At 39.5% G+C, this 18,667-nt stretch overlaps 1 protein-coding gene across 1 annotated transcript in view, besides 2 other annotated features; it reads left to right on the top strand.

Annotated features, from left to right (window-relative positions):
• Positions 1-18,667, top strand: part of BRINP1 (BMP/retinoic acid inducible neural specific 1) — a 202,807-nt gene that overhangs the window by 69,983 nt on the left and 114,157 nt on the right. The gene's annotated exons all lie outside the window — the stretch shown is intronic.
• Positions 543-1,071: an enhancer, noted in NCBI's record as "OCT4-NANOG-H3K27ac hESC enhancer chr9:122060660-122061188 (GRCh37/hg19 assembly coordinates)". NCBI's record gives its function as "activates a minimal SCP1, AML or CMV promoter by ChIP-STARR-seq in primed H9 embryonic stem cells {active_cell/tissue: H9 hESC(primed)}" and the evidence as "EXISTENCE:reporter gene assay evidence [ECO:0000049][PMID:30033119]".
• Positions 1,072-1,601: an enhancer, noted in NCBI's record as "OCT4-NANOG-H3K27ac hESC enhancer chr9:122060130-122060659 (GRCh37/hg19 assembly coordinates)". NCBI's record gives its function as "activates a minimal SCP1, AML or CMV promoter by ChIP-STARR-seq in primed H9 embryonic stem cells {active_cell/tissue: H9 hESC(primed)}" and the evidence as "EXISTENCE:reporter gene assay evidence [ECO:0000049][PMID:30033119]".

The raw sequence follows: 18,667 nt of genomic DNA, 5'->3' as shown, positions 1-18,667 counted from the left end.
TAGTAGAGACGGGGTTTCTCCATGTTGGTCAGGCTGGTCTTGAACTCCCGACCTCAGGTGATCCGTCTGCCTCGGCCTCCCAAAGTGCTGGGATTACAGGCATGAGCCACCGCGCCCGGCCCACTTGTACTCACTTATATGTGGAAACTAAATAAGTCAAATTCATAGAAGCAAAGAGTAGAATGGCGGTTACCAGGGTCTACGGTTGAGGAGTGGGGGAATTGGAAAGATGTTTGTCAAAGGATACAAAATTTCAGTTAGATAGGAAGAACAAATTTAAGATCGATTGTTCAACATGGTGACTATACTTAAAAACTGTAATTAATAATAATAATAATGGATTGTACACTTGAAAATGTGATAGTAGATTTTAAGCTTTCTTACCACCAAAAATAAGTATGTGAGGTAATGCATATATTAATTAATTTGATTGAGCCATTCCTCAATGTATACATACATCAAAACATCAGATTGTATACCAAAAATATATGCAATTTTTACTTCTCAGTTAAAATAAATACTTACCTTTAAAAAAAAAGTATTGGCTCAAAGTAAATGCATAGGTGGATCACTGAATCTAAGTTGGATACAAAAGAAAGCAGGTAATAGTATGTAAAGGGAAAGGAGAGGGTTGTGGGCCTAGAGGTCTTGAAAAGGTGAAAAAGCTGGTGTTGTGATAGACTAGTTAGAGACTGGAATGTTTTAATACACTATGTCAAAGCTAGAAGGGTGTTGGGAGATGGCAAGTTCTGGAGTAATCATGGCAGGAAGCAGGGGCCTGGAAGAGGATGGGGTGAAGGTCATTGAGATGGAATAGGTCAAGGGGCTGAGAGGCTGCGGGTATTTGATGCTAGGTACATGGAATAAAGATAGGACTTGGAGTTAAGGCACAGTTTGAGTCATGTGCTGACATGTTCAAATAACTTGAGAGAATACTCTGAAAGTTGGTTATTGAACACAAGGAAGAAGGGGAGGGGTGGGGGAAATCTCAATCTGTAAAAGAATTTAAGCATTCAAGTCTTGTTTCATTCTATATTAGATCTTTGAGTAGTGATCTGAGCCTCAAATTCCTTCTCCTTAAAGAGGAATTTATCTTTACCTGCCCCCCAGCCCCCAACAGAGCTGTAGAATGTAATACTCAAAAGAGGAACTGAAAGTAAATGTGCTTGGTAAACCATGCACTGTCATGTAAATATGGGCCCTATTGTTCCTGTTTACAGGCATGAGGGACGGACTTTGGATTCCTTTCCCTGCTCTGATGGAAGATAGTGCTTTGGTACCTAATAATTGCATTCAAATGGTCTGATTTCAGACTATCACTTTAGGATAACAAAATGAGCAGCAGTTGTAATATTGGAGACGGACTGTTAGATGTCCTATCTTTTAGATGTCCAGAATAAATGTGCGAGAATAGTTGACCCAGACAAATTGACTGATGAAAGGATAACTTGTGCTTCAATATAATGAGTTCAATATTCTTTTGATTTACGAAAAGGCACTGGGGCACCCAGGCCCGGATGCTTGTCAGCAAGAGAAAAATGGAGGTTGCATTGCAGTTCCTGCAGACAGAACAAAGTTCTTTCTCTGTTTCAGCTCAACCTGCATTTGTTATTATTTTATTATTATTATTAATTATTAGAAAGGGAAAGGAAAATAATACTAAAGACCAGGGGTTTCAGGAGGCAGAATTGTCTTACCGTATAATTAGCCCAGCCCTGATGCTGCCAGTTGAACCTAAATGAGCAGGATAATGGGAGAAAGTCCAAAATAGAATCCTGTTAGGGTTCATTTCAGAACCAAGAAGGAAGTTGAAAAATAAAACAAAAAGAATGGAACGAATAAACTTGTGTGATATGATACAGAATATGGTATTATTAGCTAAAGCTTATATAGCTCTATTAAGTCATTTATACTTGAGTGCAACCCTTGTGACAGCTGTAGCCTTTAACCCATTTTACAGATGAGGAAATTGAGGCTCAGAAAAGTAATATGGCCAGGGTCACACAGCTGGGAAGTCACACAACTCTGATTTGAACCCAGGCAATCTGGTTCCACAGTCTGTGCTCGTTACCACTGGCTATACAGGGCGCTGAGAAGGTGAAGGGAGCGCAGCCTTGGGAACCAAGGAGCCCGTGTCCTCCTCTGTCCTCAACACTGTATCATCCACCTTGTGACCTGAGCATATTATAACCCTGAGCCTCAATTCCCTCTATAATATTCATGTTTTGGACAAAATAATTGCTAAAATACTATCCATTTCTTTTCTTTTTAAGTTTTATTGAAGTATAATTGATGAATAGGAATTGTATACACTTAAGGTATGCAACTAGATGTTTTGACATATGTATACATTGTGAAATTACCCCCACAATCAAGCTAATTAAGGTGTCCATCACCCACACAGTAACTATTTTCCGTCTCTTTTTTTGTGATGAGAACACTTAAGATTATTCTCTTAGCAAATTTCAAGAATATAATATAGCATTTTTAACTATAGTCACCATGCTGTATATTAGCTCTCCAGAACTTACTTATTTGGCATAACAGAAACTTCGTTCGTACCCTTTGACCAAACTCTCCCCATTTCTCCCTTCCCCCTATTTCTGGCAACCATCATTCTACTCTCTGCTTCTGTAAGTTTGATCCTTTTAGATTCCACATACAAGTGAAATCATGCAGTATTTGTCTTTCTGTGCCTGGCATATTTCATTTAGCATAATGTCCTCCAGGCCCATACATGTTACAAATGGCAGGATTTCTTTCTTTTTAAAGGTTGAATAATGTTTCACTTTGTGTGTGGGTGAGTGTGTGTGTCCATTCATCTGTTGATGGACATTTATGTGGATTCCATATTTTGGTTATTGTGAGAAACTCTGCAATGGACATGAGAATGCAGATAGCTCTTCAACATACTAATCTCATTTCCTTTGGATAAATACCTATAAGTGGGATTGCTGGATCATATATTAGTTCTAGTTGTAATTTTTTGAAGAACTTCCATACTGTTTGTTTTCCAAAATGGCTGTATAAATTTGCATTCCCATCCACATTCTTGCTAACACGTTATTTTTCAAAATTTTATAATACCTATTCTAACACGTGCAAGGTAATAGCTCATTGTGGTTTTGATTTACATTTTCCTGATGATTAGTGATATTGAGTATGTTTTTGTGTACCTGTTGGCCATTTGTATGTCTTCTTGAGAAAAATGCCTATTCAGGTCCTTAGCCCATTTTTACATCGAGTTATTTCTTTCTTTTGCTGTTCATTTATTTGAATGCTTTATATATTTTGAAAATTAACCACTCATTAGATATATGGTTTGCAGATATTTTCTCCCATTCCATAGGTTGCTTTTTCTCTCTGTTGATTGTTTCTTTTGATATACAGATACTGCTTAGTTAGATGGAATCCCACTTGTCTATTTTTGCTTTGGTTTCCTGTGCTTTTAGGGTCATATCCAAAGGAATCATTGCCCAGACCAATGTTAAGAAGGTTTATCTCTGTTTTCTTCTAGTGTTTTTATGGTTCCTGGTTTTACCTTTAAGTTCTTAATTCATTTTGAGTTGATTATTGTATATGGTCTGAGATAAAGGTGCAATTTCCTCCTTTTGCATGTGGGTGTCTTGTTTTTCTAACAACATTTATTGAAGAGAGAACCTTTTCCTCATTGTGTGTGGTTGGAACCCTTGTTGAAGACGAATTGACAATACATGCCCAGGTTTATTTCTGGTCTCTCTATTCTGTTCAATTTTGTCTGTATGTTCATTTTTATGCCAGTACCATACTGTTTTGAATACTGTAGCTTTGTAATGCAGTGACACACTGCATGATGATGTTTCAGTCAACAACACACTGTGTATATGACAGTGTTCCTATATGATTATAATACCATATTTTTACTGTGCCTTTTCTATGTTCAGATATATTTGATACATGAATATTTACCATTGTATTACAATTGCTTACAGTAGTCAGTAAAGTAACATCTTGTACAGATTTGTAGCCTAAGAGCAATAGGCTATGCTATAGAGCCTAGGTGTGTAGTAGGATATATCATCTAGGTTGGTGCAAGTATACTCTGTGATGTTTGTACAATGACAAAATCATCTACTGATGTATTTCTCAGAATGTATTCCTGTCCACTTTCAGAGTCTGAGGTGGATGGATTGCTTGAGGCCAGCAGTTTGAGACCAGCCTAGGCAACATAAATGAAACCCCGCCTCTACCAAAAATGCAAAAATTAGCCAGTCTCATAACCCAGTCTCAAAAAATAAATAATTAAAAAAAAATTAAAAATAATAAAAAATAATGCATTCCTATCATTAAGTGATACATGCCAGTATATTTTAAAATCGAGAAGTGGGATGCATTCGTCTTTGTTCCTGTATAAGATTTCTTTGGCTATTTGGGGTCTTTTGTAGTTCCACACATATTTTAAGTTTTTTTTTTCTATTTCTATAAAGAATGCAAAATTTGATAGAGATTGCATTGGATATGTAGATCAGCTGGGTATTATGGACATTTTAACATTATTAATCCAATTCATGAACACGTGCTACCTTTCCATTTATGTGTGTCTTTTTTTTTTTTTTTTTTAACGTAGTGTCACTCTGTTGCTCAGGCTAGAGTGCAGTGGTGTGATCTCGGCTCACTGCAACCTCCACCTCCTGGGTTCAAGTGATTCTCCTACCTCAGACTCCTAAGTAGCTGAGAATACAGACACATCTGGCTAATTTTTGTATTTTTAGTAGAGATGGGGTTTTACTATGTTGGCCAGGCTAGTCTCAAACTCCTGACCCCAGGTGATCTGCCCATCTCAGCCTTCCAAAGTGCTGGGATTACAGGTGTAAGCCACCGCACCCAGCCTTTCTGTGTCTTTTTAAATTTCCTTCATCAATGTGTTTTGTCGTTGTTGTTGTTTTGGAAATGAAGTTTCATCTCTGTTGCCAAGGCTGGAGTGCAGTGGTATGATCTCGGCTCACTGCAACCCCCAACTCCAGCTTCAAGCGATTCTCCTGCCTCAGCCTCCTGGGTAGCTGGGATTATAGGCATATGCCAACACGCCCAGCTAGTTTTTGTACCTTTAGTAGAGGGTTTCACTATATTGGCCAGGCTGGTCTCAAACCCCTGACCTCAGATGATTCATCCGCCTCGGCCTCCCAAAGTGCTGGGATTACAGGCATGAGCCACCGTGCCCAGCCTCATCAACGTTTTATAATTTTCAGAATATATGTCTTTTACTTCTTAACTGTATCCCTAAGTGTTTTATACTTTTTCTTACTATTGTAAATGGGGTTGTTTTTATAATTTTTAAGATATTTCATTGTTAGCATTATTTTTGGATAGTTCACAGATTTCTGTATGTTTATTTTGTATCTTCAACTTCATTAAATTTATTTATAAGTTGTACCATTTTTGTTGTTACTGAGTCTTTAGGATTTTCTATATGATCATCATATCATCTGCAAACAGAGATAATTTTACTTCTTTTTTTATTTGAATTACTTTTATTACTTTTATGTATTTAATTTTTCTTGTCTAATTACTCAGCTAAGACTTCCAATACTATGCTGAATAGAAGTGGTGAGTGGGCATCCTAGCCTTGTACTGAATCTTAGAGGAAAAGCTTTTAGTTTCCATTTACAATACTCCATAGCTCTTATTTTTCCATCTTCTTCGTTTTCTTTTTTTTCTTTTCTCTTCTCACTCTTCTACCTCCTATTCAAATATACTATCTATATGCAATGCTTTAAAATTCACAAAACAATGTCTCATATGAGGTAGTAATAATATCTCATTTTACAGATGACGTAGCAAAGGCTTTGAGTGAATAAATTATTTATCCAGTGTGATATACCTGGTAAGTGATGAAGCATTGGCATCTATCTAAGTCTTCTGATGTGACTTTCATTACTCATTTTAACTTTCTACAACTACCTTTCTGTTTCATGGGTCCCTTATTATCACTGGTTCTCAGTTTAGGTACATCGCTGGTGCTTTTGCAACACTTTTCAAAGGAGAATGGAGAAGAGTCTTGCTAATATGCAAATATATCTCACCTTATTCATGCGTAAGGATAATCCTTATCCATACATAAAGATTCTAGAGGTGACATTTACAAGAAGAGAGAATGAGAAATATTTAGCTTGCAGAAAAAAAAAAGGAAAAAGAAACCTAGATTTTTCCATTTACTAATTCTTGGAGCAGAACATAATCTTAGTACATATATTTTAGCACCTTTTCCCGCCGAGAATTCTTATAACATGTCATATTCTTGGGAAGAATTTATTTTCTCAATTTACTGATCATTTATACCACACAATGTGGGCTTTCATAAGAAGCCATATCACCTTTTAGGAAACTTCAGTCCAGAATGTACATTCTATTGAGGCATGGATTTTTGTTCATTTTGATCACTGTTATGTACTCAGACAGAAAAAGTGCCCGATATATAGTAGCCATTCAACAGGTCTTTGTGGAAACTACGACTAAATCAATAAATACACTGTAATCTTCTCAGGGAAAACTCTTGCTAGTAACCTTGGTTCTAAACTCCCATTCCTGTGGTTCTTGACCTTATCTAAACATCTGATCTTTCATCTAGTCACCGCTGTAAAATACAAACATACAAGCAGCAACAATAACAGCAACAAAAAACCCTCATCATTGAGTGTACATCTTGCAGACCTTTGAGGGTAAGACTTTTGTCCATCACCTCTGGTATCAGTTCATATGATAAGTACTGTTTGCCTGGGACTTCACTTATTGTATGAAAGACACCAATTCACATACTTTTCATACTAGAAGTTGGACTTTCATAGTCTCTGCATTGGCAGAGTCTATGAAAGGCTGAACCTAATTAAGCGATAGATGAAGGACACTATCTTAGTCCCTATTTGTTTTCATTCATTCGTTTACATATTCCTTTATTATGTAGATATTCAACCTGTATTTTGTACCAACCACTCTACTATTTAATATAAATATGAATAGTAACATAATGTCCTAGCTGAAGGTGCTAATTGTATGGTGTTAGTGACAGACAAGTGAATGGCGATAAGATAATGCTCTAAAGCTATAATAAAAGTACATATAGCTTATGTCATTATTTCTGTTTTGTGTCTATCCTACGTCCATTATATTTTTCTTCTCCGTTTAAGCAGTCAACTTGAGCAGAGGTTAGTATGAGAACACTGGGTAGAAAAACATGGAATGGATCTTATGACACCTCAGCTCTAGTTCTAGCTTTATATCTCATTTGTTAAGTGGACTTGGTCAAGTCCAGTGACCTTTGTGGGCCTTTGCTTTCCCATCTCTAAAATAGATATTAGGGCTGAACATTTTCTGAGCTTCTTTCTAGCTCTTACATGCTGTGGTTCTGTGAATTCTTTGCCTTCTCAAAGATTTCAGAAAATTAACTCTCATTGAGTGTCATTTTCTGACTCCGGGAATAAAGTATTTTTTTTCTAAGATTGTTTTCTTAAAATTAGAAGACTGATGTTGTATTATTAAAAACAACCAACTCACCATGCTTCAGGGTAGAGATTCTTTTGTCTATTGCTAATGGAGGATGTTAGAGAGAAGGTCATGGCTGTACCTATTATGCTGTTCTATTTCAGCCTACTCTATAATTCTCTGCTTTTTTTGAATCCTATTCTTTTGCTGAGTACCACCCACCTACTTCTGGGAGACAAGGCTGTGTGAAAGACATCCTCAGACGTCTCATCTGCTTCCTCATCCATCTGCAACTGGATGCTGGATTTTCAGCAGTAACTTGGGAGCTTATTTCTCAAAGAGAACTAGAAAAAGTAGCCACTGACACTGGACCAGTATCTATTATGTACAGGAAGCTTGTAAACATATGTACAGAACCTGTACTGGGAAACAGAAAGTTTCTAATTAGCTGGCTCCAGAGAGAAAATTGGTGGTGGTTACTGGAAGACAGTCTTCAAAGTAAGAAAAGGTATTTAATAGTCAGATTTGTCAGAAGACAGAGAGAACACCTGGATAGAACTGAGTGGGCAGTCACTGTCCTGTCACCAAAGGGATTCTAATTAGCATAGTCTGACCCAAGAAAGAATGTAAGCACAAGTGTGAAATTGGCTTCAGTGACCTTGTCAGATACCCTTCACCACGTAAAGTTAGTTTTCTGGGTAGCCAAATATAGTTGCACAGTTTGTCTACTGCACAACGGAATCTTGATGGAGAAGAACAATGGAGGCTCTATCCTGGCATGGGGATGCATAATTCTATCTGAAAGGAGCACTGTTTCTGAAATTTGTCTGCCTAGAGGGAGCAACTTTTTCTAATTTTTTTTTTTTTTTTTTGAGATGGAGTTCATTCTTGTCGCCCTGGCTGGAGTGCAGTGGCGCGATCTCGGCTCACTGCAACCTCTGCCTCCCAGGTTCAAGCGCTTCTCCTGCCTCAGCCTCCGAAGTAGCTGGGATTACAGGTGCCTGCCACCATGCCCAGCTAATTTTTGTATTTTTGGTAGAGACGGAGTTTCACCATGTTGGCCAGGATGGTCTCAAACTCCTGACCTCAGGTGATCTGCCCGCCTCGGCCTCCCAAAGTGCTGGGATTACAGGCGTGAGCCACTGCACCCAGTGCTTTTTCTAATTTTTATATGGCATCTGTTCTATGAATGGAGGCCCTATAGTCTGATTAATAATGCACTGTGACTGTTTCTAGATGTTTTATTGAAGTCTTCCATATGGGATTCTCTTCCAGATATCAATCAAATGCTGCTGCCCTTCCCTCCATTTTCCCTGGGTAATCACACTTGCTCCCTCCTCTTCCATTATCACCTACATTCCAACAACTCCCAAATATCCATATTCAGTTTTCATCTCTCCTTCAAACTCCAGAATTTTTGCACCTAACTGCCAAATGCATTTCCATTAGACTTTTTAATGAAAGCTCAGAATCCTGATTCTCCTTCCCTACCAGTTTGTTTCTCTTTCTGAGTTCTCTGGCCCCAGTAATGGCACAATCATTGGTCAGGGGACTAAACCAGAAGATTAGCCACTACACTATTCTTCATGATTTTTCTTGTTCACTCAAGAATAATAATAATAATTTTATAGTAACCAGTAATATTTATTGAATGTTTACCATGTTTCAGACTCTATGTCTGTCTGTTCCTGACCCCTGTTCTCCACTGCTCTGAGCCTGTGAAAGGTTGCATAATTCACCACTGTTTATTGCCTTAGGGTTGGGGAGCACCCTTAGGTCAGGCAGCCATAGACATGCAATTCTTAACCTTTTTCAGTTGCAGTTTTTCAAGAATAAACTCTCCTATGGCTTCTGTCTGCTTTAGGTTCTTTCCATGGTCTTTAAATTATTGTTGTTGTTCTTTTGAATGTATTCATTATTTATCATTACTTACCATGGAAAGTTTTGCTTGAGCATTTCATCCTGCAGACTTGACCAGTTCCTGATTTAATTATTGAAGGATCACTGCAGGTGAATCAGCCAGTAGGGGGAGCAAGAGTGTAAGCTTGGACCAATCAGTAAGTTTTCAGACTGGCCCAGTCAAGAGATAATAATGACTCGGACTAGGGACTGTCGTGCATCTTCCGAGAAATTATCATGTTCAAGAGGTTTAAGATGACAGGATTGTATCAATCCATGTGATCAGTTCAGAATCAAAACACCATAGCCTTCTGACTTAGGTCAATGAGTTATTAACCAATGCATGGGTTCTTCTAGGTTTCTGAGTTGAGGAGAACTTAGAATGAGTAACTGGTGGGACAGGCAGTATGCTTAAAATGCTATCTGTGGTAGCTGGGGTTCTGTGTGAGGTTATATCCTTTGGGATATTTCTCAGATTAATAGAAGAATCTTAGACATGTGTTTTCTCACTTTCTGCATATCAAGTGAGTCATCAACCCTATTGCTTCTAATTTACCTTTCCTACCTTCTTCTCATTTTCTACCTCTAACTCATGCCATCAGCTTCTTTCAGTCCCATAATTGCAATAGTTTCCTAATCAGGCCTCCTCCTTTCACGGAACAGCCAGAGTTAACTGATCTCCTAAAATAAAAATGAGACCATGCTTTGCCTCTTCTCCATCGTCTTCATTGGTAGAGAATACCAGTTCTTCATCGTCTTACAGGTAGAGAATACCAATCCTCTAGCTTAGTATTCCAGTCATTTTCTGAGTATTGCATTTCTTTATGTTGGCAAGGCCACACCCAATTACTTCTTAATTCCAGAATTTCATTCACATTGCCCTGCCTCTGTGATTTTTCTCATTCTGTTCTTTTGCTTTAGAATGCTCTTTCTCCTTGATCTCCGTGCTCTGCTTTTTAAAACCACATTCTCAGACTTCAAGAATTGGCTTAAATGGGCCGGGTGTGGTGGCTCACGCCTGTAACCCCAGCACTTTGGGAGGCCGAGGCGGGTGGATCACTTGAGGTCAGGAGTTCGAGATCAGCCTGACCAACATGGTGAAACCCCATCTCTACTAAATATAAAAAATTAGCCAGGTGTGGCGGCACATGCCTGTAATCCCAGCTACTTGGGAGGCTGAGGCAGGAGAATAGAATAGCTTGAACCTGGGAGGCAGAGGTTGCAGTGAGCCAAGATTGTGCCATTCATCACACTCCAGCCTGGGCAACAAGAGTGAAACTCCATCTAAAAAAAAAAACAAAACAAAACAAAAAACAAACAAACAAACAAAACCTCTCCTTTGGTGCATTCACCTATTTTCATTTAATTCAGATATTTTTAGTGAGCACCTACTATGTGCCATTCACTCTGCTATATCCTAAGGCTATGAGGTTGAGTAAGAAGCATTTTCCCACCTCTTGCTAAAAATATCACCCCTAAATCGTGTGGCCCTTTTTTAAGATTTAGCAAAGCCCATTGCTTCCAGTGGTGGTTTATCAATTCATTGACTGATGAAAAGACCTCATTTTGCTTTCTGTATTGTGTTTTTGCTACTCTTTCCCACTCTTTCTCATTACCACAAGGAGTCTGTTGGCTACTGAGGTCAAGGCCCAGGTCTAGTCATCCATTGTCTCCCCAAATCACCCAGCATTGTATTTTGCATACATTACATCATAAACCTATGTTTAGGATATGGTTAAAAAAAATTTAAAAAGAAAAAATAAGTACCTAGTTGTGACTATTGCCATTTATATATTTGGCTTTCAAGAGTCACATACTAACAACATCATTCACAGTGAATTATTTACAGAAAGCTACTGTGAGGTTGAAGTTATATGTCCTCCTTAAATGAATCTCTTCAGGTGAAGGGAGAAAAAAGAAGGACAATGGGAAGGAATCCTTTTGCATGCAAATAAACCAGACATTTAACAGCCTCCTACCCATCTGTTCCCATCCTGTAATATAATATCTAAACCTTCCTCCAAAGGCATGATTTTGCTTGACCCACAAAAAGTTTTTAAAAGTAACTGTGGGTCTCTGACTTGTGGTTTTTCTTTTTTTTTAACTTTTAAGTTCAGTGGTACATGTGCAGGTTTGTTACATAGATAAACGTGTTACATGGGGGTTTGTTGTATAGATTATTTCATCATCCAGGTATTAAGCCTAGTACCCGTTAGATACTTTTTTCTGATCCTCTACCTCCTCCCACCCAGGTCTTTAATTTTTCAGAAAAGGATATTTCAAGAAAAAAATCCAGATATCTGAGGTTTTTTAATTGAAAAAATTATGTCTGATAAACCTTTGCCATCATTTGTGCAGATAAACAATGGGCTGGATCTGTGTGAGGGCTGCTACCTTCAGATATGAATGCTGTCAGGCTTGACCACTCAGATGGCGTTGTAGCTACATTTGCACTTGACTGTTACTTCCATGAACCTGAAAGCCTTTGAAATCTTTATTCCGTAGGTCCTTTATATTGTCTTATTTCTGTGTTTGTTTCCTTGTTCATCGGGGAACAAGCCCAGTGTAGTAGACTCTGTATTCTGATGTATCTCACCAATTGAGTTATCATAAGTACTCTAGTGTAGACATGTGATTATACTGTTCCTACTGATGAGGTGTTTGTGGTTCAGAGAAGTTAATAAACTTGTCCCAGATAACACAGACAATATGAGAAGCACTGGGATTCAAACTTAAAACTGTCTACTCCCAGGAGAGTATGTGAAATAAAAGTTAAAAATGTGAACCATCTCGAAGCAGAGATAATGAGGAAATTTCATCTTGCAATGATATATTTAAGAAGTTATTCAAGAACTGTTCCTTGGAACCAGGTCTCTCTTATGATAAAAAAGGAGAGCTTAAAGCACCATGTGAATTATTTAAAATAAAAGTGCTGCATATCCTGTAAACTAAGTGTTTGGGATAATCCAAGATGGGATACCCTTAGAGAAGAGATAAATCAGATGAGATCTCTAAGGTCTGTTTTTTTTTTTTTTCTTTCCTTCTATCTCAAATTTCTCTCTACCTTTGATTCCTCAAGGTGAAATTAACTAGACTATTTGGTGATTTGGAAAATACAAACGCAGCCAACCACATGTTGTGCAATTCAAGTGTTCCAAGGATCTTTAGGTCTAGAAAAACATTTAAAGTCTATCTAGCAGTTGCTTATCATTTTTTATTGAATAACCGAAGTCAGAGTGGATAGGCGTCTTGACCAAAATCGTGGATGAATTAATGACAGGCACAAGGGTAGAACACTCTGTCTGGTGAGTTCCCCCGTCCTCTTGTGCATGACCTTGTATAGCAGGCATGACTGTCTCTGAACTTTCAAAATACCAAGTGGCATTCTTTTGACATTTAAAATTAGAGACTTATATTGTCAATTATCTTGTCTACACAGCTATGTCTACACAGCTACATCAAAATTTCATATATGAAAACGCTGAATCTTTTTTCTACATTTTTGCACTACCCAGTAGACACATGTTAAATTTGTTACTCTGTTAAAAATGATGATGGCGATGGCCGGGCGCAGTGGCTCACGCCTTTAATCCCATCACTTTGGGAGGCCGAGGTGGGCGGATCGCAAGGTCAGGAGATGGAGACCATCCTGGCTAACATGGTGAAACCCCATCTCTACTAAAAATACAAAAAGAATTAGCTGGGCGTGGTGGCAGGCGCCTGTAGTCCCAGCTACTTGGGAGGCTGAGGGAGGAGAATGGCGTGAACCCAGGAGGTAGAGGTTGCAGTGAGCCGAGATCACGCCACTGCACTCCAGCCCTGGCGACAGAGCAAGACTCCGTCTCAAAAAAAAAAAAGATGAAAGATAATGGCGATAACACTCTCGATGCCCTCAGCTATGCAGATCATATATTGTTCATAGTGGAAAAAGTTGCTGGTAATATTCATGTTGGCAATGACAAAGATTGGTGGAGACAATTTTCGTGGTGATAATAATAATAATAGTATCTCCAGCTGGTGTCAATGCTGATATTCATATTAATGATGATAAAGTTGATGGCAATGATGATTTTGAAGATGCTGATAATTGGGGGAGAATGATGAGCATGAATTGATTTCCAAGTTGCACAGCTGTTTGCCCGGGGATGTTGGTGGTTTTGTTTGAGCCTCTTTAGTTTTCCTTCCTGGTATAAGTTGGATCTCAGTTTCCTAAGAAAAGAATGAGTTAGTAGGATATGACAACTGAATACCAGGAAAAGAGCCCCGCTGGAGTCACTGGTAAAATTGTGTTTCTTCCTGAATGATACCAGATACACACCACTACCAAGGCACCAGAAATCCTCTGGGGATTCAAGAAAACCTAAGGGATAGTTAGATGAGGAGGGAAAAAAAGAAAACGGGTAAATAGAAAGAATGAGGAGGTACAAAGTATCTTGCAGCCTGAACTTGAAGTTCCCTCTATGCTATTAATCCCTAAGTACAAGACTTTGACAATTAGATAAATAATTAGATTAAGGGTTATGTTGAGGGGCTCTGGAGTCAGAAATGCTTAAGCTGAAACCACACCTCTAACACTTATTAGCTATGTGGACCTTGAGGAAGTTCAGTTAACTGCTCTCAGCTTCAGTGCGTGCTCATCTATAAAATGGGAACACCTGTATGTAATTGTTTTGATGGTAAGCGTTAAATGGATATAAATGGTTGAATCAAATTACTCAGTGCTGACACATGTATGTGATTCCCTCATTTTCTTGATTCCCCTCTGCCATCCCGTTCGAATGTGCAGATCCATTCTGCACCAGCCTTCTGAGACCACGATGGTCTTTCTCACTGGCTTGTACCATGTCCTGATTTCAGTGATTCTCTACAACCTATTTTTTTTTTTTTTTTTTTTGATGCCTGCAAGAACTTGATTAGTATGCGAAGGAGTGGCCAGTCCACTCCACACTGCAGCAGGAGCCCAGAGCTGAGCAGAAGGCCTTGGGAACCGTGCGATGCATTTCTCAGTGGCAGGCAAAATGAACCCGGGACAAGCTAAGCTTTGCTTGTTTCAAAAACTCCGTCATAAATTAACGTAAAGATGCTCTTTTTCCTCACCAGCCAGAGGACAGGCATGTTTCAGTAGGCAGTTAATCTTGGCTGATCTATATTAAATATTTATCTGCTGAAATGAGCCCAGTATTGTAGTGGTATTTTTCATTATAGGACTTTATCATTTCCAAAGAGATTTCCATGAGCCGGCTCCCTTGTATATATTAAACCCAAATTTCCTGTGGAATGACACATCTTTCTTGGCAGCGAACTTTCCTCTCTGTAACAAGCTACTGATATGTTGGAATTTACAGGGCGATAAACACATTTATTGAGAAAGAGGGAGTGGAGCAATCTTTTATTTGCTTCTCTAATAAAAACCCTGGGGACAGGCTTGAAAAAATGGAAATTGGTCCCCATTTTCAGCAGCACAGGGTGAGGGGACAAGTGGTTGAGATCTGCTCTTGGAAAAGCCCTAAGAAAAGGGAGGGAAAGAGTTGCTTTGATAAGAGTCATTATAATTCCTTGTATTTGAATTGGGGCTTTTACAGCCATTTCCATTATCTCATTTGAGCCTTACAACCACCCCCCCAAAAGTGAGACTATATCCATTTTTAAAATGAGGCTCCTAAAGCTTCAACATCTTTGCCAAACACAGAGCTAGGGCACAGCTGGTATTGCAACTCAGAGGATGGCTGAGTTAGGGCCTCTTGCCTGTACCACATTGCCTCCCACAGCGGGAAGAGAAAACTGCAGCTTCATCGGATTCTGGCTCTGAGTGTGAAATTGGATAATCAAGTCTCTGGATAGTATGGAATTTGTAAAATCTGAGCATCAACCTTGGTCTAAGCCATGCTCCTAGAAAGCATGGGCTTTCCCAGAGAAAACTCAAGTCAAAAGAAAGCGATGCAGAAAGGAGCAAAAAGCGAAACCCAGATGGGAGGGGAGTGGAGAGAAATAAGAGGACTGGTGGCAGGCCCCTTCAAAGTTAATGTATATTTGAATCAGCTGAGGATCTCATTAAAACTATAGATTTGGATTCATTCGGTCTCAGGTGGGACCTGGGAATTCTGCAATTCCCCAGAGGATTCTGAAACTCACCAGATGCTGCTGGTGGTGGTCCAAGGGCTGTATTTAAACAGCAAGGTGATATGAAACCAGCCTAAGGAGAAAAAGGAGGAATGATAGCATCAGGTGACGGTATGGTACTTGTGTTAAGAGATCTGAGAGGAGGCCAGGCGCAGTGGCTTACGTCTGTAATCCCAACACTTTAGGAGGCCGAGGTGGGTGGATCGCCTGAGGTCAGGAGTTCGAGATCAGCCTGGCCAACATGGTGAAACCTCATCTCTACTAAAAATACAAAAATTAGCCGGTTGTGGTGGCCCACGCCTGTAATCCCAGCTACTCAGGAGGCTGAGGCAAGAGAATCAATTGCTTGAACCCGGGAGGCGGAGGTTGCAGTGAGCCGAGATCGTGCCGTCGCACTCCAGCCTACGCAACAGAGCGAGACTCTGTCAAAAAGATCTGAGAGTAGGAAAGGTTGTTTGATGTTGAATTTCACCCTCCCCCTCCCACCACTTTAAAAAATTCCTTAGGGCAAAGTTGTGTCCGTGAAAGTGGCAAGTATTTTAGTGATCTTTTGGGTCAGTGATTCTCAGACTTTAACCTGCATCATAATCATCTTGCTAAAGCAAGTTAGCAAGAGGGCTTGCCAAAGCAGATTGTGGGGCTCCACCCACAGTTTCTGAGTCACTGGGTCTGTCTGGGGCAGGGCTGGAGATTTTGCATTTCTAACAAGCTGCCAGGTGATGCTGAGGCAGCTGAAGCTGCAGTTCCAGGGACGATGAGGACTACTGTTTGTTTCCACCCCTTCATTCTAAAGAAACACTCAAGGAGGCCCAGAAAGAACAAATGATCTCATTTACAACCACAGCCGGTGAGAACGCAGATTCACGCTCCAAGCTCTGTGAACTGCTAGTCTGGTCCTCTTTCTACCTCTCCGTAACTCTGTATCCTTGGTCAAGTCCTGTCATCAATTTCTGCTTTGAAAAGGCTTAAAAGGAATCTAAGAAGTGGTCAGTGAGGGCGATAACTTTGGCAGCTGTGATTAATATAACATTGAAGAGAGAAAGAACCTACCTTCCTCCCAGGGGCATAGAGCTTTTGTGTTTGCGGTACACAGGGAAAAGCGCAACCGTAAGAGGTAATCTATCACTGCTGTCTCTCCACTGTGACCAGCTATTACTCTCCCCTTGGTTTCACTCAACATGAAAAACATTATTTCTGGGCAAAATTAAATTTGGGGTTTTTGAAAATAAAGGAACAACATTCTTGTTCCCCAGTCCCCTTCCAGAATCCCTTTCTCTTTCTTTCAAAGGTTATAGCTCCTGGCATTCCTGCATATTGAATTTTGTAAGGGCTTTTCTGTAACAATAACAGTGGAGATGGGCTTACTTTTCATTGCTACTCTTCTTTAATTTGTTTCCTTTTCTTTTATCACCCATTTTTGCTTTTCCTCCTTATTACTCTTCTCTTTTACATTCTTCCCCTCCTCCCTCTGTCCTTCTTCTCGTTCAGTTCTCCTTTCATCACTGGATGTCAGAGCCAAAAGAGACCTTTAATGATCAGATGCCAACTTCCTTGTTTTCCAGATGGGAATCCAAGGTCCAGAAAGCCTTACCCATTTTGCTGGATCTTACGGAAGGGATCCCATGCTACTTATTTGCAGGGCCACAGCTACAACCCAAGTATCCCAGCTCTTTCCTCCTGTGGATTTCATCTACTTTCTGTTTAAGCACCATTCCCAAGTTCAGCACTCTCCCCAACACTGTCGTCTCATCTACACATAGTAATTCACAGGGAAGGGATGGAGGTGGGTGTGGGACAAGAATCACTTAGGTAGGGTGAAGGGCCTTGTCAAAACTATTCAAACCCTCAGAGGGTGAGGAGAAATCAACATTTTCAGACTTTGTTCATGGAAATATAAGTTTGTATTTTTGAAAATTCAAGATGCCTATGAGCTATGACTCCATAATTCCACTTTAGGAATCATTTCTAAGAAATACTCACAATGTGTGCAGAGGTACACTTAACAATATTTACTGCAACACCATTTGTAACTAGCCAAGAGGAACAAAACATGAAAACAAGCTGAATACCTGTCAATAAGGGATTGCTCAAAGAAATTATGGTGCATTCTTGTAATACTGCAAAGCCACTAAAAAGAATGAAAACAATCTATGTGTACTGATCTGGAAAAAAACCATGATATATTGTTGAAATGAAAAATAAAGCAAGTTGCATACACATACACACACATCATGACCTTATTTTTGCTTAAAAATGTTTATATGTCTATATGCATAAATGCTAGATTTATATTTATATAAGCATAAGTAAATGTATAAGGATGTGTTATGAACTAGCAGAATAATGAATAATTTTGAATATTTTTCCAAAGGGAACACACCCTTCATATTCCCTGACAATGCTGACTTGTTCTCACTCGCCCATAGAGAATCCTATGATACCATAGAGAATCTATGATACCTCTCTTTCTCCCTTCCCTGCTCCTCCCTTCTTCTCCCTGATCCCTTCTTTACTTTTACTCTCTCTGTCTCTCCCACCCTCCCTCCCTTCTTTCTCATACACACTGCCTAAGTGATTTTTGAATGCTTACATCAATGCTAAAAGACCTACAGAGAAGAGAACTGGTTTCCTGGTAGTTCTTCCGCAAAAGCAGGCTGATTGATTGCAGATTGCAACCAGGTCCAACTTTCTATCCCAAATGACAAATGAAGAGCTCTTAAAAACAGAATAAAATATCCCATATTCAGAGAAGTATCTCTGCCAGGCCAGGCATGAAAGGCAGTGAGCAATGAGAACTGTGTGTAATTCCTGACCCATCCATAGCCTGTCACATTTCTACACTCTCAGAACCAGTGTCAGTAGGGTTGGCTGGACTCCCTGGCTTTGCCCTCCAGGTTCCTACACCATCCAGCCTAAAACCCTGATTAACTCCAGCATCTGCCTTTCCTGTACCTCTGGGTGGTGCAGAGAATGTTTCCATTTCCTGGGCACATTGGGCAAAATCAAACCTCTGTGGCTTTACCCACATTTCCTCCATCTGTCAAAGTCCTAAGCAGTCTTCAAGGCATGGTTGAATGATTCCTGCTCTCAGAAGTCTTCTTTCATACACCCCTGCTCTTTCAGAATTAAATAAATCTCACTTGCTGTATTACTAGAGCAATTATTTAATGTTGCTTTGTACTGAACTGAC

The sequence above is a fragment of the Homo sapiens genome, chromosome 9 (genome assembly GCF_000001405.40).
Source record: "Homo sapiens chromosome 9, GRCh38.p14 Primary Assembly".
Taxonomy (NCBI): Eukaryota; Metazoa; Chordata; class Mammalia; order Primates; family Hominidae; genus Homo; species Homo sapiens.
Note: the sequence above shows the minus strand (reverse complement) of the source record. Positions and strands in the feature narration are given on the sequence as shown.